The sequence below is a fragment of the Homo sapiens genome, chromosome X, assembly GCF_000001405.40.
Source record: "Homo sapiens chromosome X, GRCh38.p14 Primary Assembly".
Lineage (NCBI taxonomy): Eukaryota > Metazoa > Chordata > Mammalia > Primates > Hominidae > Homo > Homo sapiens.
This window is the reverse complement of record NC_000023.11, coordinates 123,775,301-123,797,663: the sequence shown is the minus strand read 5'-3', so window position 1 is coordinate 123,797,663 and position 22,363 is coordinate 123,775,301. Positions and strand designations below refer to the sequence as shown.

Here is a 22,363-nt window from a genome sequence, read left to right as displayed (position 1 = left end):
TGAAACTATTATAGGCAGAAGGTGAATAGGAGTTTGCTGTTATAGATACAGCTGCTTGTAGATATAAAGCCTCACCAGAGTGGTCCCTCGTCCGTGTGCTGAAGCCTGCTGCACTCCAAGGGCTGTCTGTGAAGCAGTGAAGAGGTAACTTTGATTTTTAGGTACTTTCGGGGGGAAAACAGCTTTGAAATGGTAGAAGCACACAGTGTCTCTTTCTAGTTTCTTTTTTTATTTTGTTTTTATTTTTAATTTTTTTTGTCTCAAACTTCTGGCCTCAAGTGATCCTCCCACTTCTGCCTCCCAAAGTGCTGCGATTACAGATGTGACCCACCAGGCCGAGTCTCTTTCTAGTTTTTTTTTTGTTTTTTTTTTTTGATGGAGTCTGGCTCTGTCGCCCAGGCTGGAGTACAATGGCACCATCTTGGTTCACTGCAAGCTCTGCCTCCCGGGTTGACACCATTCTCCTGCCTCAGCCTCCCGAGCAGCTGGGACTACAGGCGCCCGCCACCACGCCCGGCTAATTTTTTGTATTTTTAGTAGAGATGGGGTTTCACCGTGTTAGCCAGGATGGTCTCAATCTCCTGACCTCGTGATCCACCCGCCTCGGCCTCCCAAAGTGCTGGGACTACAGGCATGAGCCAGGCCTCTTTCTAGTTTTATTAATGGAACAAAAGTCACTCCTCCCACTCCTCATTGCTAGGACATGCATTTCTTCCTGGCATGGGAGAAATCCATTGATAGCCAGTGGAAGCTAGAATGCTTGATTTTGTAGGACTCGAGAAAGGATTAGGGAGAGATTGCATGTATGCATGTATGCAATCTCTCCCTAATGAGAGTTTAAATGGAGAGATTGCATACATCCTAAGGACAGAGTATGAGGATGGGTGTGGGAGAATGGCTTTTCTTTTTTTTTTTTTGAGACGGAGTCTTGCTCTGTCACCCAGGCTGGAGTGCAGTGGCACGATCTCCGCTCACTGCAAGCTCCGCCTCCAGGGTTCAAGCGATTCTCCTGCCTCGGCCTCCTGAGTAGCTGGGACTACAGGCGCCCGCCACCACACCAAGCTAATTTTTTGTATTTTTAGTAGAGACGGGGTTTCACCATGTTAGCCAGGATGGTCTCGATCTCCTGACCTCATGATCCGCCGGCCTCGGCCTCCCAAAGTGCTGGAATTACAGGCGTGAGCCACTGTGCCCGGCCACCTTATCTTTAGTTTCTAAAGATAAGTAAAAAAAGTGATCAAAGCACATGAAAAGATGTTTAGAATCATCAAATAGCTACTAATGAGCAATTTATTGGTTCAAGATCCAAGAGATAATTAGATAATAAGAGGATAATATCACCAACTTTATGTCGTAAACTAACATGTAAATAAAATGGATAAGTTCCTTGAAACACAACTTATCAAAATTGATACAGAAAAAGTAGAAAACTCAAATAAAAGTAAAGCTCCATATCTATATGTCTTTACAGTTGAGTTCTACTAAACCATTGAAGAAGAAATAGTTCCAATCTTCTCCAGAGACTAGAAATAGATAGGCTATTCATCAACTCACTTTATGAGGTTCCTATTATCTTGATACCAGAACCCACGAATAGTTTGAAAAAGGGAAAAGACATGTCAATCTCACTTATAGGTGCAAAAATCCTAAACCAAATTTTAGCAAACCAAGTCCAGTAATATATGGAAAGGATAATATATCCTGAATAAGTTGGGGTTATTCCCAGAAATGCCGGGATGGTTTATTATTAAGGAATCAATTGTTTTAATTGGTCGTCTTAACATATTAAAAGACAAAATCATATGGTAATCTCAGAAGATGCAAAAAAAAAAACACACACACTTTCCACAATTCAATATCCCACTTATGATAAAACTAATGGCAAAATAGGGATATAAAGAAATGTCCTTAATTTAATAAAGATATTCAAATGACTTATACCCATTATCATACTTAATGAAACAAAAGGTTTTTCCTTTGAGATCATGAACATGACAAAGATGCTCACTACAGTCATCATTTTTCTTCAATATTGTAGCTGAGGTCTTATGCAGTGTAGTAATGAGAAAAATAATATAAGGTTTTAAGAGGATAAGCCAGAAGTTTTATTATTTGCATAAGATATGCCTGTGTATGTAAACATTCCAAAAGTATATGCAGATCAATGATTATTATTATTATTATTATTATTTGTGATGGAGACTTGCTCTGTCACCCATGCTGGAATGCAGTTGTGTGATCTTGGCTCACTGCAACCTCCACCTCCTGGGTTCAAGCGATTCTCCCACTTCAGCCTCCCGAGTAGTTGAGATTACAGGCACCCGCCATCATGCCCGGCTAATTTTTGTATTTTTGTAGAGACAGGGTTTCACCATGTTGAGGAAGCTGGTCTCAAACTCCCGACCTCAGGTGATCTGCCCGCCTTGGCCTCCCAAAGTGCTGGGATTATAGGTGTGAGCCACTGCGCCCGGCCGGGTTTAGACTTTCTAGTCCAGTGCTGGCTCATGAGTAAGGCTTATGTAGTTTGGGCCTATTATGAGTAGGGACTACCCTTTGCTAAAGAGTTATATGGATATACACCTTAATCTAGACAGAAGAAGTGTCCTGTAAGATTTGGGCTTACTTGTAGTCCTGGGCTGAGAGAAACTGTTTCATGGTTTTCGTCGTTGTTGGTGGTGGTGGTGGTTGAGACAGCGTCTTGCTCTGTCACCCAGGCTGCAGTGTAGTGGCGCGATCTCGGCTCATTGCAAGCACTGTCTCTCAGATTCAAGCAATTCTCCTGCCTCAGCCTCCCGAGTAGCTAGGATTACAGGTGCAGGCCACCATAATTAGCTAATTTATGTATTTTTAGTAGAGACGGGGTTTCACCGTGTCGGCCAGGCTGGTCTCAAACACCTGACCTCAAGTGATCCTCCTACCTCAGCCTCCCAAAGTGCTGGGATTACAGGCTTGAGCCACCGCGCCCGGCCTGTTTCATGTTATGTGGCCGTTTGTCTAATCAAAGTTTGCTAAATGGCTCTGATGAACAGAGCCTCTCTGCTGAACTGCATTGGATATGCAACAAGAACAAAAAATAAACCTTTGTAGTTTTAAGCCATTAAGTTTTTTTTTTTTTTTTTTGAGACACAGTCTTGCTCTGTCACCCAGGCTGCAGTGCAGTGGCATGATCTTGGCTCACTGCAGCGTTGACCTCCCACCTCAGCCTCCCAAGTAGCTGGAACTACAGGTGTGCACCAACATGCCCAGCTAGTTTTTATATTTTTTGTAGAGAAAGGGTTTTGCCATGTTGCCCAGGCTGGTCTCGAACTCCTGGGTTCAATCGATCCTCTGGCCTCAGCCTCCCAAAGTGCTGCGATTACAGTGAGCCACCATGCCTGGCCACCACTGAGATTTTTCAACCTTGGTGTAATCTAGCCTAACTTGACTGATACATCAACTCTCACCATACAAGACATTCTACGTTCAAAACTAATCCCATAGGCGATGCCCGCATTCTTCCATTGCTATAAAAATACTGGACACAGGGTAATTTACACAGAAACGAAGTTTAATTGGTTCATGGTTCTGAAGGCTGTATAGGAAGCACAGCAGCTTCTGCCTCTGTAGAGGCCTCAGGAAACTTATAATCATGTTGGATGGCAAAGCAGGAGCAGGCACGTCTTACATGACTGGAGCAGGAGGAAGAAAGAGATGGGGTAGGAGCTACACACTTTTAAACAACCAGATCTCAAGACAACTCTATCACGAGGACAGCTAAAGGGCGATGGTGCTAAACCATTAGAAACCATCCCCATGATCCAATCACCTCCCACCAGACCCCACCTCCAGCATTGGGGATTACTTTTCAACATGAGATTTGGGTGGGGGCACAGATCCAAACTATATCACCTACCTAAAGGTAAGTTTATGGATTCAGACTACAGCCCATTCTCATACCAACACTCAGCTTAGTGTGAAACAGCTATCAATATAACCAGTTCCTATATCCATGCCATAGTTTAGAAAATCATGGCAAGATATAATTCTAGGTTTGTATATAATGAACTGTGAAGGGTCTGTCTCAACACTCTAAAAATGATCTGTCTAGTCAGACTGTATCATGTGTAGTGAAAGGGTATGATGAATATAGGTTTTTGGTTTTTAAGTATTATCTTCTGATTTGCCAAATAGTGGCATGTTTATGTATCATGGTCTACGAAGATCCTGTTTCAAAGCCTACTGAGTAATGAATTGGGGATATCTATATAACCACTATCTGTGGGGATGCTGTCTTCATTTTGACTGAATATAGGTAGAGGATTAGACCTATATCTGGAGAGGGAGCTGCACGGCCATATTCTTGGAGGGGACTGTCTGGTTGTTGCTGAGCAGCAGGATTACTAGCTCAGATGCCAGCAGGTAAATGAACAAATACTGTAGGCTGAGTATCTACACATTTAATTGCAGAGGAATATTAATTACTTTCACAAAGAAATTAGCACTCCTCCATTTTTCCTGAAACACTCACCCCTCATGGAAACGGGTTCAGAAAACAACCTGTGATATGAGAGAAAAATAAACAGTATATGCTGGATGTGTTGGCTCACGCCTATAATCCCAGCACTTTGGGAGGCTGAGGCAGGTGGGTCACCTGAGGTCGGTAGTTCAAGACAAGCCTGACCAACATGAAGAAACCCTTCTCTACTAAAAATACAAAATTAGCTGGGCGTGGTGGTGCATGCTTGTAATCCTAGCTACTCAGGAGGCTGAGGCAGAAGAATCGCTTGAACCCAGGAAGTGGAGGTTGCAGTGAGCCGAGATCGCGCCACTGCACTCCAGCCTGGGCAACAGAGCAAGACTCCGTCTCACAAAAAACAAAAAACAAAAAACAAAAAACAAAAAACAAAAAAAAGTATATATTATTATTATTAATACTACATTTAGTAGATATGATAGAGGCAGGGTTTCACCATGTTGGCCAGGCTGGCCTTGAACTCCTGACTTCAAGTGATCTGCCCACCTTGGCCTCCCAGAGTGCTGGGATTACAGGTGTAAGCCAACACACTCGGCCTCTTTTTTTTTTTTTTTTTAAAGACAAGGTGTCACTGTCTCCTAGGCTGGAGTGCAGTGGTGTGATCACAGCCCACTGCAGCCTCTGATTCCTGGGCTCAAGTGATCTTCCCACCTCAGCCTCTCTAGAAGCTGGGACTAAAGGTGCACACCACCACACCTAGTTAATGTTTAAATTTTTTGTAGAAACGCGGTCTCGCTATATTTCCCAGGGTGGCCTTGAACCCTTGGGCTCAAGCAAACCTCCCACTTCTGCCTCCCAAAGCACTGGTGACATGGGCCACTGTGCCCTGCCATAAATATTCTGATTTTTAAGTCTTGGTTCAATTCAAAAAGGGACTGTGTGTGGTGGCATACTCTGGTAATCCCAGCACTTTGGGAGGTTGAGGCAGAAGGATCACTTGAGCCTGGGAGTTCAAGACCAGCCTGGGCAACATAGCGAGACCCTGTCTGTACAAAAAAATTATTAAGAAAAAAGAAGCACTGTGTATGGAGAAAAGTGTGCAATGTGGATCAAGAATCCACTCAAGGCGGGGTGCGGTGGCTCACGCCTGTAATCCCAGCACTTTGGGAGGCTGAGGCGGGTGGATCACGAGGTGAGGAGATCAAGACCATCCTGGCTAACACGGTGAAACCCTGTCTCTACTAAAAATACAAAAAATTAGCCGGGCGTGGTGGCGGGTGCCTGTTGTCCCAGCTACTCGGGAGGCTGAGGCAGGAGAAGGGCGTGAACCTGGAGGCGGAGCTTGCAGTGAGCCGAGATCATGCCACTGCACTCCAGCCTGGGCGACAGAGTGAGACTCCATCTCAAAAAAAAAAAAAGAATCCACTCAAGGATACCACTTTGCAATTCCTGATATAGATGCTGAGTGGGGTTCATCTCCTATTGAACTGTTTAGAGGTCTGGACCTTGGCTGATTTGCTAGTGTCTGCTCAGAGGATTGTCTGCTTAGTAATTTGGGGAGCATATATCTGTATGAGGATCCTCAACTAGACAGAGGGTCATTTCCCACCTTGCTGGCTCCTATTGTTAAGGACTATGAACTGTATGAGGGCTCCTTTGTGTTGGGCCAAGACATGGTATGTGAAGGAATCCTGAACTGAGCAGGGACCATGCATGGGATGATGGACTGTGCTATGTCTCTGGGCTCTGTATCCTGATAGTGATGGTTTGGAAGGGAAAAACATCAGTCAAGAAAATGGGGTTGCTCAAAATAAGTTTGATGAAATAACTCAAAAATATTGCTGCAAAATGCCGGGTGTGGTGGCTCATGCCTGTAATCCCAGCACTTTGGGAGGCTGAGGTGGGCGGATGACCTGAGGTCAGGAGTTTGAGACCAGCCTGACCAACATGGTGAAACCCTGTCTCTACTAAAAATACAAAAATTAGCTGGGTGTGGTGGTGGACACCTGTAATCCTAGCTACTCGAGAGGCTGAGGCACGAGAATCGCTTTAACTCGGAAGGCAGAGGTTGCAGTGAGCCGAGATTGCGCCACTGCACTCCAGCCTGGGCAACAGAGTGAGACTCCGTCTCAAACAACATATATATATCTATATGTCTATATATATATATCTGCAAAAACCCTGATATGATATTTAACAACAATAACAAAAGTTGTGCATTAACCATGGCCAAGTGGAATTCATTCCAGAAATGTAAGAGATGGTTCAGTATAATGAACTATATTAATTGTATAGTATTATATTAATAGATGAAAGGTAGAAAACTACATGATCCTCTTGATATATGCCAAAAAAGGCATCTGATAAGTTCAATGTTTATTTATGATAATAGTTTTTAAAAACCTTAGTAAAACAGGCCCAGATGGATATTGTGTTAACATGAGAAAAAACAGACTTTAAACAAAAAGCCAACGTCATCCTTTAGTATACATTTTTTTCTGAACAGCCTCCTGTCTGCTCTTCCATGGCTTGAGTAGCAAAAAGCAACTGAGTAAGCCCTAAAGCAAACGGTTACTATTTAGAATTTAAACAAAAATCTTGGCCAGGTGCGGTGACTCACACCTGTAATCCCAGCACTTTGGGATGCCCACGCAGGCAGATCACCTGAGATCAGGAGTTCGAGACCAGCCTGGCCAATGTGGTGAAACCCAGTCTCTACTAAAAATGCAAAAATTAGCTGGACGTGGTGATGGGAAAAAAAAAAATTGGCCGGGTAGCAGGGTGTGGTGGCACATGCCTGTAGTCTCAGCTATTCAGGAGGCTGAGGCAGGAGAATGGCTTGAACCCAGGAGGTAGAGGTTGCAGTGAGCCGAGATCGCGTCACTGCACTCCAGCCTGGATGACAGAGTGAAACTCCGTCTCAAAAAAAAAAGGGAAACCACAAGGGTCAGAGCATGAACAGGCTTACATGATGCCATCACTAGGATAGATGAGGTGGTCGATACTAGCATAGCTAAGGGTCTCAGCTCTTAGCCCTCATTTTTCTTCTTTCTTTCTCTTTCTTTCTTTTTTCTTTCTTTCTTTCTTTCTTTTTCTTTCTTTCTTTCTTTCTTTCTTTCTTTCTTTCTTTCTTTCTTTCTTTCCTTCCTTCCTTCCTTCCTTTCTTTCCTTCTTTCTTTCTTTCTTTTTCTTTCCTTCCTTCCTTCCTTCCTTCCTTTCTTTCCTTCTTTCTTTCTTTCTTTTTCTTTTCTTTCTTTCTTTTTTGTTTCTTTCTTTCTTGACAGAGTTTCACTCTTATCACCCAGGCTGGAGTGCAATGGCTCGATCTCGACTCATTGCAACCTCCGCCTCTAGGATTCAAGCCATTCTCCTGCCTCAGCCTCCCGAGTAGCTGGGATTACAGGCACCTGCCACCATGCCTGGCTAATTTTTTTGTATTTTTAGTAGAGACAGGGTTTCATCATGTTGGCCAGGCTGGTCTCGAACTCCTGACCGCAGGTGATCCGCCCGCCTCAGCCTCCCAAAGTGCTGGGATTACAGGCGTGAGCCACTGCGCCCAGCCAGCCCTCATTTTTCTTACCTAGGTTTTTACTATTTGGTTTCCTAGTTTATTTTTTTTTATTAATTTTTTTTTTAAGAGATAGAGGTCTTGCTACATTGCCCAGGCTGGTCTTGAACACCTGGACTCAGGCTTAAGTGATCCTCTGGCCTCGGATTCCCAAAGTGCTGGAATTACAGGCGTGATCCGCTGTGCCAGGCTGGTTTGCTTGTTTAAACGACATGCTTTAACTTTCACCTTTTACCTGTGCGTAATCATTGAGCTTATTCTTCTACATTTCTTCTTTGCTCCCATTTTTAATTGTATTTCTACTTTGCCAGAGAGCATTCGTCAGCACTTATTCTTACATTTGTTTTAGTCTTAGATTTATATAATTGAACATGTTCAATCCTTAAGATCTGTTTTTTTGGCTAAAATTTTGCAATCATCTTTTAGTTGTATGAAACTTGACCCCTAGTAGAATCCTCAGAAAGAGTCCTTGAATACAAAATTACTTGAGTTCTTGAAAGTTTAAAGATGGAATCTTTGGCTCACACTTTTTTTCTTTTTTTTCTCTGATATGTCTGAGTCTTCTGAAACTCAGACTTTTTAAAAGCTTGAGTTTCTTCAAGAGGTTTCTTCACTGTTATCTTACTTTCTATAATTCTGTCAAGTAGTTTGATGCCAACTGATTTTCTTTTCCTGTAGGTCACTTGAGTGTTTTATTTGTTTATTTTGCCTATAGAGTCAAAGGATTTTTTTTCTAATCACTATTGTCTGTTTTACTGAGCTATGTCTCAGAGTTGATTGTCAGTATCCTCAAGTACACAGCAGGATCTTTAAATATGTAGAAGTGGATGTTGCTTTATTTCTAGAAAGTTTTGTTTAAGTTATAATTTTAAATATTATAACAGTTCTGTTCCATTGTTTGTTTTGTTTTTGTTTTTTTGAGACAGAGTCTCACTCTATTGCCCAGGCCAGAGTGCAGTGGCACGATCTCAGCTCACTGAAACCTCCATCCGCTGGGTTCAAGCAATTCTCCTGCTTCAGCCTCCCGGGTAGCTGGGATTACAGGTATGCGCCACCACGCCCGGCTAATTTTGTATTTTTTTTTTTTAGTAGAGATGGGGTTTCTCCATGTTGGTCAGGCTGATCTTGAACTCTTGACCTCAGGTGATCTGCCCACCTTGGCCTCCCAAAATGCTGGGATTACAGACGTGAGCCACCGTGCCCGGCTGTTTTTTTTTTTTTTTTTTTCTTAAGAGCTTTCAGGCCAGGCTCGGTGACTCACGCCTGTAATCCCAACTCTACTAAAAACACAAAAATTGAGTGGGCGTGGTGGCTCTCGCCTGTAATCCTAGCTTCTCGGGAGGCTGAGGCAGGATAATTGCTTGAACCTGGGAGGTGGAGGTTTCAGTGAGCCGAGATCACGCCACTGCACTCCGGCCTGGAGACCGAGCGAGACTGTCAGTTTACTCTTTGCCCCTTTAATTTGTTTTGGTTGTCTTGGTTCTTTTTTATTCACATTCTTTCTTTCCTTTTATGGCATTTTTCAATGACACCAATTCTCCCTTGGGCACCTTGTAATTTAGTTTTCTCTTCTGAGATGATTTCGTCTTTTTCTGCAATTTCTTTCCTGAGTTCAGTCAGCATGCCACATGTTCCTGTTGTTTGTTTCTATTGTGTGTGTGTGTGTGTGTGTGTGTGTGTGTTTTGAGACAGAGTCTAGCTCTCTCACCCAGGCTGGAGTGCAGTGGCACAATCTTGGCTCACTACAGCCTCCACTTCCCAGGCTCAAGCAATTCTCCTGCCTCAGCCTCCCGAGTAGCTGGGATTACAGGTGCACGCCACCACACCCGGCTAATTTTTGTACTTTTAGTAGAGATGGGGTTTTACCATGTTGGCCAGGCTGGTCTAGAACTCCTGGGCTCAAACGATCCACCCGCCTCAGCATCCCAAAGTGCTAGGATTATAGGTGTGAGCCACTGTGCCCAGCCTTAAATTTTTGATTCGCAGTAGTCTTTCATATCTGCAATTGCTTGTTTAATTATATTTATGTTTTTCTCTGCTTTACTATTCTTGTCTTTTTTTTGGAGGATATTTATTTTCATCAGCTGAAAAGTTCTGGTTCTTGCTTTTTTACCCCCTTATAGTAATTCTGTGAAGATAATCATTTTCTGATTATTGTAAAGTATCCTGGATTTTCCTGATTCGGTGATAATGTTTTGATTGATTCTATATGAAGAAAAGGATTCAGATACCTTATTTGGTTTATTGGCTCAAGAGCACCCTCTTCTGTTGATACAATAAAGTATAGTGTCTCTAATAAATTATACTTTTGGAGGGAAGGATCATTTGATCTTCTGAATGCTATTCCTCCAATGGCTACTTCTTCATGTCTTGCCTTCACAAGACTACTGTCTCTTGTACTGTGCAATTTTTAGGCTTCTTCCTTTTTTTTTTTTTACGCATCTTTCTTTCTTTCTTTTTGAGATGGAGTCTTTCTCTGTTGCCCAGGCTGGAGTGCAGTGGCACGATTATGGCTCACTGCAAACTCTGCCTCCCAGATTCAAGTGATTCTCCTGCCTCAGCCTCCTGAGCAGCTGGGACTACAGGCGTGCACCACCAGGCTCAGTTAATTTTTGTATTTTTAGTACAGACGGGATTTCACCATGTTGTCCAGGCAGGTCTTGAACTCTTGACCTCAGGTGATCCACCTGCCTCAGCCTCACAAAGTGCTGGGATTTCAGGCGTGAGCCACTACACCCGGCCAACACATCTTTCAAATAACACCTTTCCGGCCAGGTGCAATGGATCACGCCCGTCATCCCAACACTTTAGGAGGCCGAGGTGGGTGGATCTTCTGAGGTCAGGAGTTCAAGACCAGCCTGGCCAACATGGTGAAACCTGTTCTCTACTAAAAATACAAAATTAGCCGGGCGTGGTGGCACATGCCTATAATCCCAGCTACTCGGGAGGCTGAGACAGGAGAATGGCTTGAACCCAGGAAGCAGAGGTTGCAGTGAGTTGAGATCGAGCCATTGCACTCCAGCCTGGGCAACAAGAGTGAAACTCTGTCTCAAAACAAAAACAAAAAACAAATAACGCCCTTCCTTTTGATTCTTAGTGCTCTGATCCATCAGGTCTCAAACTCGTTCTTAGTTTTAATTAGGGTGGGACTTTCTTCAGAGTGTGAACCCTATGTGGTATTATCATGAGAGAAGAGAAGACTCTTCTCTCACAATTTCTGCCTCATATTTCAAATAAATGGAACTATATAATATGTGGTCTTTTGTGACTGATTCTTTCACTTAGCATAATTTCTTTGAGATTCATCCATGTTGTAGCATGTATCAGTACTTCATTCTTTTATATGGCCAAATAATATTCCATTTAATGGAATAAGTGGAATATTTGGTATAAATATATCACATTTTGTTTATTCATTCATTAGTTGATGGACATGTAGATTGTTTCCATTTTTTCCAAAGTAGCTGGATTATTTCACATTCTCATCAACAATATGTAAAGTTTCCCATTTCTCCACATTCTCAGCAACACTTGTTATTGTCTTTTTTGGGCAAAGAAAATCACTTTATTCTAATTAACTCACAAACAAAACAAAACAAAAAAATTACAACAGCTGGTTTAAGGAGGCCACACAAACATTTGACACGCCCCAAATTCTATACTATCTTAATGAAATTCTACCAAATAAGAACACCCTCTTCTATTGCAATTCTGAAGCAAGAAAGTAATGAATGACAGAGGATTGGTTTCACTGACGGTTTTACACTTTATACCTTCACTATTAAATATATATTATATATATACTTTTTTTTTTTGAGACAGATTTTGCTCTTGTTGCCCAGGCTGGAGTGCAATAGCATGATCTCGGTTCACCACAACCTGCAGCTCCTGGGTTCAAGTGATTCTCTTACCTCAGCCTCCCGAGTAGCTGGGATTACAGGCATGCGCCAGCACGCCCGGCTCATTTTTCGTATTTTTTTTTTTTTTAGTAGAGACGGAGTTTCTCCATGTTGGTTAGGCTGGTCTCGCACTCCCCACCTCAGGTGATCCGCCTGCCTCGGCCTCCCAAAGTGCTGGGATTACAGGCGTGAGCCACCACGCCCGGCTATCAATTATGTTTTTATGCTAAATTAACTTAGTTGTGAGAGCTGATTTTCCATTTCTTCAATTTGAACTTCTTGATTAGATAAATCCATTTGCAAGTCTGCACTGTTTCACCACCTCATGGAAACCCTCACAGAACTTTATGTCTCCCTGATTCTGGGCACATTCCAAAAACCATTTTATCTCATACAAGAAAGCCTACTGCTGCTGTGCCGGGTGGGTTCCCTGAGGCTTCTGGTAAGTGATGTCACCACTTGGGGGCTCAGCATTATTTACTCCACTGAAGCTCCCACTGATGGCATGACCCAGTATGTGCCCCACAGCAGAGTCCACAGCCATGCCAGCTGCAGTGATTGCCGCCCGGGCCATCAGACCTGGCTGCCGCGGAGTGCAGCAGCAGGAGAGCCAGCTGCAGAGGGTGGGGCTGCTGCTAGTGGCTGAGCTGCTGGTGCTGGCCTGGGTGTAGTTCTTATCTGAGGTTCTCAGCTGGCTAGAGGGGCCACGTGGGAGGTGCAGTTTCAGCTTCCACGTGACGTTGCAAATGTGCTGCGGCTCAGCGTCTAGACTTGTGAAACTCTATCTTTCTAAAATTATAGCCATTCTTCTGCATGTAAAATGGTATCTCGTGGTTTTGGTTTGCATTTCCTTAGTGATTAGTGATGTTGAACATCTTTATTTTATTTAGTCATTTATTTTTGAGATGGAGTTTTGCTCTGTCACCCAGGCTGGAGTGCAATGGCTCAATCTCGGCTCACTGCAACCTCGGCCTCCCAAGTTCAAGCGATTCTCCTGTCTCAGCCTCCCAAGTAGCTGGGATTACAGGCGCCCGCCACCATGCCAGGCTAATTTTTGTAGTTTTTAGTAGAGACAGCGTTTTGCCACGTTGGCCAGGCTGGTCTCAAACTCCTGACCTCAGGTGATCTGCCTGCCTCGGCCTCCCAAATTGCTGGGATTACAGGTGTGAGCAACCATGCCCAGCCTTATTTTTTGTTTTTATGTAGAGATAGTCTCACTATGTTGCCCAGGCTGGTCGTGAACTCCTGGGCTCAAGATATCCTCCCACGTTGGCAGCCCAAAGTGCTGGGATTATAGATGTGGGCCACCACGTCTGGCCCTGAATATCTTTAAATGTCTTTATCAGCCATTTGTATATCTTCTTTGAAGAAATGTCTACTTAAGCCCTTTGCTGTCCCCGCATCCGCCAACTTTTTTTTTTTTTTTTTTTTGAGTAGGAGTCTCACTCTGTTGCCCAGGCTGGAGTGCAATGGGGCAATCTCAGCTTACTGCAACCTCTGCCTCCTGGGTTCAAGCAATTCTCCTGCCTCAGCCTCCCGAGTAGCTGGGATTACAGGTACTGCCACCATGCCCGGCTAATTTTTGTATTTTTAGTAGAGACAGGGTTTCACCATGTTGGCCAGGCTGGTCGCTTTGGCCAGGCTGGTCTCGAACTCCTGACCTCCTGATCCCCCTGCCTTGGCCTCCCAAAGTGCTGAGATTACAGGCGTGAGCCACCGTGCCCGGCCCCTTTGCCCCTTTTTGAAAATTGGGCTTTTTTTTTTGGCTGGGCGTGGTGGCTCTCACCTGTAATCCCAGCACTTTGGGAGGCCAAGGTGGGCAGATCAAGAGGTCAGGAGATCGAGACCATCCTGGCTAACACGGTGAAACCCCATCTCTACTAAAAATACAAAAAATTAGCTGGGCGTGGTGGCAGGCGCCTGTAGTCCCAGCTACTCGGGAGGCTGAGGCAGGAGAATGGCGTGAACCTGGGAGGCGGAGCTTGCAGTGAGCTGAGATCGCACCACTGCACTCCAGCCTGGGTGACAGAGTGAGCCTCCGTCTCAAAAAAAAACAAAAAACAAAAAACAAACAAAAAAAAAAACAAAAAAACAAATTGGGCTTTTTTTTTTTTAAAGATTATTGAATGTTAAGGTTATACATTCTAGATAAAAGTCCCTTGTCAGATATATGGTTTGCAAATATTTTCTCCCATTCTGTAGGTTGTCTTTTTACTTTCTTGATGGTGACTTATGGTGTACAAAAATTTTAAATTTTTATGAAGCCCTATTTATCTATTTTTTTCTTTTGTCATTTGTGTTTTTGATGCTCTATCTAAGAAACTATTTCCTATCCCAGGATCACAAATATTTACTTCTATAATACTTCTATAATTTATTTTTGAATGCTAATTTTGTATCCAGCAATTTGCTAAACTCTCTAATTAATTATAATAATTTACTGTACTTTTTCTTTTTTCTTTTTCTTTTTTTCTTTTTTTTTTTTTTTTTTGAGACGAGGTTTTGCGCTTGTTGCCCAGGCTGTAGTGCAATGGCACAATCTCAGCTCACTGCAACTCCTGCCTCCCGGGTTCAAGGGATTCTCCTGTTTTAGCCTCCCAAGTAGCTGGGATTACAGGCGCCCGCCATCAAGCCTGGCTAATTTTTTGTATTTAGTAGAGGAATTTCGCCATGTTGGTCATGCTGGTTTCGAACTCCTGACCTCAAGGGATCCATCCGCCTCTGCCTCCCAAAGTGCTGGGATTACAAGCATGAGCCACTGCGCCCAGCCCTAATCTTTAATATTTTTACCTTTAATTTTTTTATTTTTTATTGCTGTTTTGTGCCTAGTAAAATATTGAATAGAAATAGTGATAATGGATATCATTGTCTCATTCCTCATTAATAGGGGAAAGCTTTTAATATTTATTCTTTAAGTTTGATGCTTGCTTTAGGTTTCTTTTAAGATTAAGGAAATTCCATTTTGCTATTTTATAAGATTAAATAAATTCTACTTTATTACTACTGACAGTTTTTCTTTTTCTTTTTTGAGACAGGGTCTTGCCCTGTTGCCCAGCCTGGAGTGCAGTGGTACAAACATGGCTCATTGTAGCCTCAACCTCCTGGGCTCAAGTGATCCTCCTCCCACCTCAACCTCCCAAGTAGGTGGGACCACAGGCATGTGCCACCATACCTGGCTAATTTTTGTATTTTTAGTAGAGATGGGGTTTCACCATGTTGGCCAGGCTGGTCTCGAACTCCTGACCTCAGGTGATCCACCTGCTGCCTTCGCCTCCCAAAGTGCTGGGATTACAGGCGTGAGCCAATGCGCCCAGCCAGTTGGTTTGTTTGTTTTCAAATCTGTAGTATCACCTTACAGTTTCTAATTCCTTAAGGAGTATTTAAATAGGGGTTTTAACAGTATCTAGAGTCATAGTGGATGGCAGATGTATTTGTATTGTCTGTTGTTTCTGATGCTTCTTGCTCAATCTTTGTTGTCTCTCACTGTGTGTCTCGTTATCTTTTTTCTTTTTTCTTTTGAGAGAGTCTCACTCTGTTGCCCACGATGGAGCGCAGTGGCTCAATCTCGGCTCACTGCAACCTCTGCCTCCTAGGCTCAAGCAATTTTCATGCCTCAGCCTCCTGAGTAGCTGGGACTGCAGGTGTGCTGGTCTTGAACTCCTGACCTCAAGTGAGCCACCTCCCCGGCCTCCTGAAAGTGCTGGGATTACAGGCACGAGCCACTGTGCCTGGCTCTGGTTATTTATTTATTTATTTATTTATTTATTTATTTATTTATTTTTTGAGACGGAGTCTCGTCCTGTTGTCCAAGCTGGAGTGCAATGGCACGATCTCAGCTTACTGCAACCTCCGCCTCCCGAGTTCAAATGATTCTCCTGCCTCAGCCTTTCAAGTAGCTGGGATTACTGGTACCCACCACCACGCCCAGCTAAATTTTGTATTTTTAGTAGAGACGGGGGTTTCACCATGATGGCCAGGCTGGTCTCGAACTCCTGACCTCGTGATCTGCCCACCTCAGCCTCCCAAAGTGTTGGGATTACAGGCGTAAGCCACCACATCTGGCCCCTGATTATCCTTAGTTATGTGTTGGATATCCTATTTGAAGAATTATTGTTATTATTATTATTGAGATGGAGTCTTGCTTTTGTCGCCCAGGCTGGAGTGCAGTGGCGCGATCTTGACTCACTGCAACTGCATCTCCTGGGTTCAAGCAATTCTCCTGCCTCAGCTTCCCGAATAGCTGGGATTACAGGTGCCTGCCAACATACCCAGCTAATTTTTGTATTTTTAGTAGAGATGGGGTTTCACCATGTTGGCCCGGCTGGTATCGAACTCCTTACCTCCGGTGACCCACCCGCCTTGGCCTTCCAAAGTGCTGGGATTACAGGTGTGAGCCGCTGTGCCCGGTCCTGAAGAATTATTTATAGAAATAATTTGAGACTTGGAATAATATTATCTTTTCCCAGAAAGGATTTTTTTGTTCCTTACCAAGTGCCTGGGGCACTAATAGTATGGGAAGAGTACGGGATTACCTTATTCCAAGTTTAAATCTTGGTATTTTGTGGGCCATTCAAATGATAAATCTGATCTATAGAGGTCATGAAGGCTAATTTACTTCTGGTTCGTCCTTACTACTAGGGTGTAGCTATCTAGTTTCCAAACCCAAAGCAGGGAACAGTACACCTTAGATTCCACCTTTTGTCCCCCAGCCCCATAAACCAACAAATGAGCAGCTCAGCTTCTCACATACCTCTTTGGAATGGTCAAACACCTTAAGGTTAAAAGCTATCCCTGCATGCTATGCTAACCTCTCTGGGTTTCTGGCCTCTCTCTAAGCTTGCCTTAGTCATGACTCACCTGAAAGCATTAGTGGTCTGGAAACAAAGCTTGAGGAATTTTTTGTTTCCATATTCCAGAGTGTAGTCCTTTGAGTTCTCTCTGCACAAGAGTGTAATTTGCACTAGGAGTCCCCTTTGGCTGGTGGACAGCTTCAGCTGCTTTCTTCAGTTCCCAGTGTCCACCCCAAAGCACTGCTTGCCTATCAGTTGTTTCCTGGGCTGGGCAAATGACCCCTGGAGCAAAGACTACAACAGAATCCTAGTTGAGAGAGAGAGAGAGAGAGAGAGAGAGAGAGTGTGTGTGTGTGTGTGTGTGTGTGTGAGAGAGAGAGAGAGAGAGACAGAGACAGAGACACACACACACAGAGAGAGAGATATCCAGAGTCCAGGGTCTACTTTCCTGGTGGCTGCAGGTCACTAACTCATTGTCTCATGTGTCCCTCTCACTTAAGGAACACCTTTTGCTTGGTAAATGCCTCTGGAGGGAAGAGGCCCTGGCTCACTTCTTTCTGTTCTGAGCACAAATTACCCTCACCACCACCCTGGCCCAAGCTACCATCATCTATCTCCTGGATTTAACTGAGTTCCCAGCTTCCACCTTTGCCATTCTATTCTCCTCATAAAAGTGACTGATCCTTTAAAAGAATAAATCAGACATGTCACTTCTTAGTTTAAAACCTCCCAGTGTCTTTTAAACCCACTCAGAATAAAATCCAAAATCGTTCCCATGACCTACAGGGACTTATATAACCTGATCCCTGGTTACCACTCAGATCTTATCACCTGTACTTCAGTCACACTAGCTTCCTGCTGTTCCTCAAACAAGCCAGTTATGCTTGAGCCTCAGGACTTTGTACTTACTGCCTGCAATGCTCTTTACCTTGATATCCTCATGGCTGATTCATTCACCTCCTTTAAGTTTTTGCTGAAGTGTTACCTATCAGAAAGGCCTTCCCTGATCAGCCTATGTAAAATAGCATTCCTTTCCTTTTATTCTTTATGCTCTTACCCAGGTTTATTTTCCTTATAACACTTGTCACCAATTGTCATATTTTATTTTATTTTATTTTGTTTTATTTTGAGACAGATTCTCATTCTGTCGCTCAGGCTGGAGTGCAGTGGTGCGATCTTGGCTCACTGCAACCTCTGCCTCCTGGGTTCAAGCGATTCTCCCGCCTCAGCCTCCTGAGTAGCTGGGACTACAGGCATGCACCACCACGCCTGGCTAATTTTTGTATTTTTAGTAGAGAGGGGGTTTCACCATGTTGGTCAGGCTGGTCTCAAACTCCTAGCCTCATGATCCGTCCGCCTCAGCCTCCCAAAGTGCAAGGATTATAGGCGTGAGCTACCGCACTCGGCTACTTGTTTTTAAAAATGTTGTCTCCCTCCCCAGCTAGATTGTAAACTTCATGAAAACAGGGACATATTCTTGTATGTCCAGCATACAAGAACAAACAGTGCCTTGCACATTATAGGTGACTCATAAATACGATATTAATGAAGAAATTGTGTAACACCTATATAAAGGAGACTAGGCCGGGCGCGGTGGCTCTCGCCTGTAATCCCAGCACTTTGGGAGGCCGAGGCGGGCGGATCATGAGGTCAGGAGATCGAGACCATCCTGGCTAACACGGTGAAACCCCGTCTCTACTAAAAAATACAAAAAAAAAAAAAAAGAAAAAAAAATTAGCCAGACATGATGGCGGGCGCCTGTAGTCCCAGCTACTCGGGAGGCTGAGAGCCAGGAGAATGGCGTGAACCCGGGAGGCATAGCTTGCAGTGAGCCGAGATCACGCCACTGCACTCCAACTCCAGCCTGGGCGACAGAGCAAGACTCTGTCTCAAAAAAAAAAAAAAAAAAAAAAGAGACTAAAATTAATCTAGAGGGACAGCAAAGGATTGAATTTTGCAAAAGTAGTAATTATTCCCAAATTAATTTATATATTTATCACCATTCTGATTTTAAAACTGCACAGTACTTTTTGGATCACAAGGTCAGGAGATCGAGACCATCCTGGCTAACATGGTGAAACCCCCGTCTCTACTAAAAATACAAAAAAAATTAGCTGGGTGTGGTGGTGGGCGCCTGTAGTCCCAGCTACTCGGGAGGCTGAGGCAGGAGAATGGCGTGAACCCGGGAGGCGTAGCTTGCAGTGAGCCGAGATCGCGCCACTGCATTCCAGCCTGGGCGACTGAGCAAGACTCCGTCTCAACCAAAAAAAAAAAAAAAAAAAAAAAAAAAATATATATATATATATATATATATATATGTATATATTACACATAACATTAAAACCAAAGGGAAAAAAACCCAAAAACCAGTTTGTTACTTCACATGGCATTGGGCAGCTGCTGCTAATTTAAGTTGAAAGCTCTATAGCTAGCTAGCTACATGACTGATTCATCAGTTTGAGATTTGTTCTCCTGTCAAAAGTTTAAGTCTGATGGAAGGTTGGCTTCACATTCTGGTGTTTGGACATCCCTTAGCTAGCATATGTCTGGTCAAAAAGATCTTTGTGGGCCGGGCGCGGTGGCTCACGCCTGTAATCCCAGCACTTTGGGAGGCCGAGGCGGGCGGATAACGAGGTGAGGAGATCGAGACCATCTTGGCTAACACGGTGAAACCCCCGTCTCTACTAAAAATACAAAAAAATTAGCCGGGCGTGGTGGCTGGCGTCTGTAGTCCCAGCTACTCGGGAGGCTGAGGCAGCATAATGGCGGGAACCCGGGAGGCAGAGCTTGTAGTGAGCCGAGATCGCGCCACTGCACTCCAGCCTGGGGGACACAGCGAGACTCCGTCTCAAAAAAAAAAAAAAAAAAAAAAAGATATCTGTGGCAAGCCAGATATCCTGTCACCTCACCAAAGGGAAGGTATCCTCTCTAAGCTCTGCCCTCTTGGTTAGGTTGGAGATACCAGGGGATCTTTCTTTTACCACCAAAGGCTCCCTCTAGTGGTACTGCTGCTGTTGCTCTCAGCAGGTGGTGACATTCGCTTAGGGCAGGGAACTGCAGAGAGGGAGCTGAGGAGCTTCTTGCCAGACACAGCCTAGTCGTCTGTGATCTTAGGACTCTGGGCTTGGGTGAAACATCACGTTATTGCTTTGTTTCAGGCTTGATACTACCAGGTGCCTACTCCTTGACCTTTGTTTAAATGAGGTACTTCAAGAATAGACAATTTCACGCGCGTCCGTGTAAAGAGACTACCAAACAGGCTTTGTGTGAGCTGTAAAGAGACTACCAAACAGGCTTTGTGTGAGCAATAAAGCTTTTTAATCACCTGGGGGCAGGCAGGCTGAGTCCGAAAAGAGAGTCAGCGAAGGGAGATAGGGGTGGGGCCGTTTTATAGGATTTGGGTAGGTGGTGGAAAATTACAGTCAAAGGGGGTTGTTCTCTGGCTGGCAGGGGTGGGGGACACAAGGTGCTCAGTGGGGGAGCTTTTGAGCCAGGATGAGCCAGGAGAAGGAATTTCACAAGGTAAGGCCATCAGTTAAGGCAGGAACAGGCCATTTTCACTTCTTTTGTGATTCTTCAGTTGCTTCAGGCCATCTGGATATATACGTGCAGGTCACAGGGGATATGATGGCTTAGCTTGGGCTCAGAGGCCTGACAGACAAAATGACTCTTTTCAGTTTATTGCATGAAGGAGTTACACTAGTCCAAATTAAAAGTAGATCACGGCCAGGCGTGGTGGCTCACGCCTGTAATCCTAGCACTTTGGGAGGCCGAGGAGGGTAGATCACCTGAGGTTAAGAGTTCGAGACCAGCCTGGCCAACATGGTGAAACCTCGTCTCTAGTAAAAATACAAACATTTGCCGGGTGTGGTGGCAGGCGCCTGTAATCCCAGCTACTTGGGAGGCTGAGGCAGGAGAATCGCTTGAACCCAGGAGGCAGAGGTTTCAGTGAGCCGAGATCATGCCACTGCACTCCAGCCTGGGCAACAGAGCAAAAACTCCATCTCAAAAAAAAATAAATAAATAAAAAATTAAAAAATTAGGCGGTTATGGTGGTGCGTGCCTATAGTTCCAGCTACTCGGAAGGCTGAGGCAGGAGGCTTGCTTGAGCCCAGGAGTTCCAGGCTACAGCGAGCTGTGATCACACCACCGCACTCCAGCCTGGGCTACAGAGAGACTTTATCTCTTAACAGCAACAACAACAACAACAAGCAAAGAAAAAAGCAGGTGAGGGGTTTCGAAGCATGACACAAGCCAAGTTTTTTGTTTGTTTGTTCCTTTGTTTGTTTTTGAGATGGGGTCTTTCTCTGTCTCCAGGGTGGAGTGCGACGGTGCGATCATAGCTCACTGCAGCCTCGGCCTTTTGGGCTCAAGCTATCCACCCAACTCAGCCTCCTGAGTAGCTGCGACTACACTGCAGGTGGGCGCCACCATGCCCGGCTTTTTTTTTTTTAATTTTTAATTTTGTAGAGACAGGGTTTCCCTACTTTGCTCAGGCAGGTCTTGAACTCCAGGGCTCAAGCGATCTTCCTGCCTCAGCCTACCCAAGTGCTGGGATTTCAGACATGAGCCACAATTCCCGGCCCCAAGAAGCTTTAAAGGAAAAAAAGACATAAATTCAACTACATTTAAAAAAATCTGCATGGCATAAGGCAGCACAAATAAAGATTTTAAAAAACAAATTGTGAATAAATATTTGCACTACATATGAGAGAGAAAACCTTATTTACTTAATACAAAAAAAATTCTTACAAATCAATGACCAATGACGCATTAGAAAAATAGACAAAGGTTATGAGAATATACAGATGGCTAATGTATGAAAGACACTGAACCTCATTAATAACCAAATAAATGCTAATCAAAATATTTCATCTGATTTGTCAGATTAGTAAAGATTTGAAATATTGACAGTTTCCAGGGTTGGCTTGAATATTGATAAATAGCCATTCTTTTAACACTGTCTGTAGGATTATACATTGGGTTAATATTTTGATGCCATTTTATCAATATCTATAAACATTTTAAAGGTATAGACCTTTCTTTTTTTTTTGAGATGGAGTCTCGCTCTGTCATCCAGGGTGGAGTGCAGTGGGGCAATATCGGCTAACTACAACCTCTGCCTCCTGGGTTCAAGCAATTCTCCTGCCTCAGCCCCCCAAGTAGCTGGGACTACAGGCACATGCCACCATGCCCGGCTAATTTTTTGTATTTTCAGTAAAGACAGGGTTTCACCATGCTAGCCAGGCTAGTCTTGAACTCCTGACCTTGTGATCCGCCCTCCTCGGCCTCCCAAAGTGCCGAGATTACAGGCGTGAGTCACTATGCTGGGCTGGTATAGACCTTTTGATCTAGCAACTACACTTTGGTGAATATATCTTGTAGAAATACTTAAAGATGGATACATAGTAATGATCATTGCAGAATTATTTGTAACGATGAATACTTGAAGGAAGAAGCCCTAAATATAGGGCGTTGGTTAAATAATTGATAGTAATCCACGTAGTACAAATGACAAAACCATTAAAAGAATTAGATAAATTGCTACTTAAAGGTTTTTCAAACTTTTAAAAGATTAATAAACTATTTTTTTTGAACACTTCTAGGTCCACAAGGAAAATCGAGTGGCCACAGCTTTCTCTTGGTATTGTGG

The 22,363-nt window shown here is 43.9% G+C and overlaps 1 pseudogene, besides 2 other annotated features; it reads right to left on the bottom strand.

Moving 5' to 3' along the window:
• Nucleotides 12,213–12,655, bottom strand: CHCHD2P1 (coiled-coil-helix-coiled-coil-helix domain containing 2 pseudogene 1; annotated as a pseudogene).
• Nucleotides 12,664–12,843: an enhancer, noted in NCBI's record as "active region_29910". NCBI's record gives its function as "activates an Ori minimal core promoter by ATAC-STARR-seq in GM12878 lymphoblastoid cells {active_cell/tissue: GM12878}" and the evidence as "EXISTENCE:reporter gene assay evidence [ECO:0000049][PMID:35858748]".
• Nucleotides 18,895–19,687: an enhancer, noted in NCBI's record as "H3K27ac-H3K4me1 hESC enhancer chrX:122911827-122912619 (GRCh37/hg19 assembly coordinates)". NCBI's record gives its function as "activates a minimal SCP1, AML or CMV promoter by ChIP-STARR-seq in naive H9 embryonic stem cells {active_cell/tissue: H9 hESC(naive)}" and the evidence as "EXISTENCE:reporter gene assay evidence [ECO:0000049][PMID:30033119]".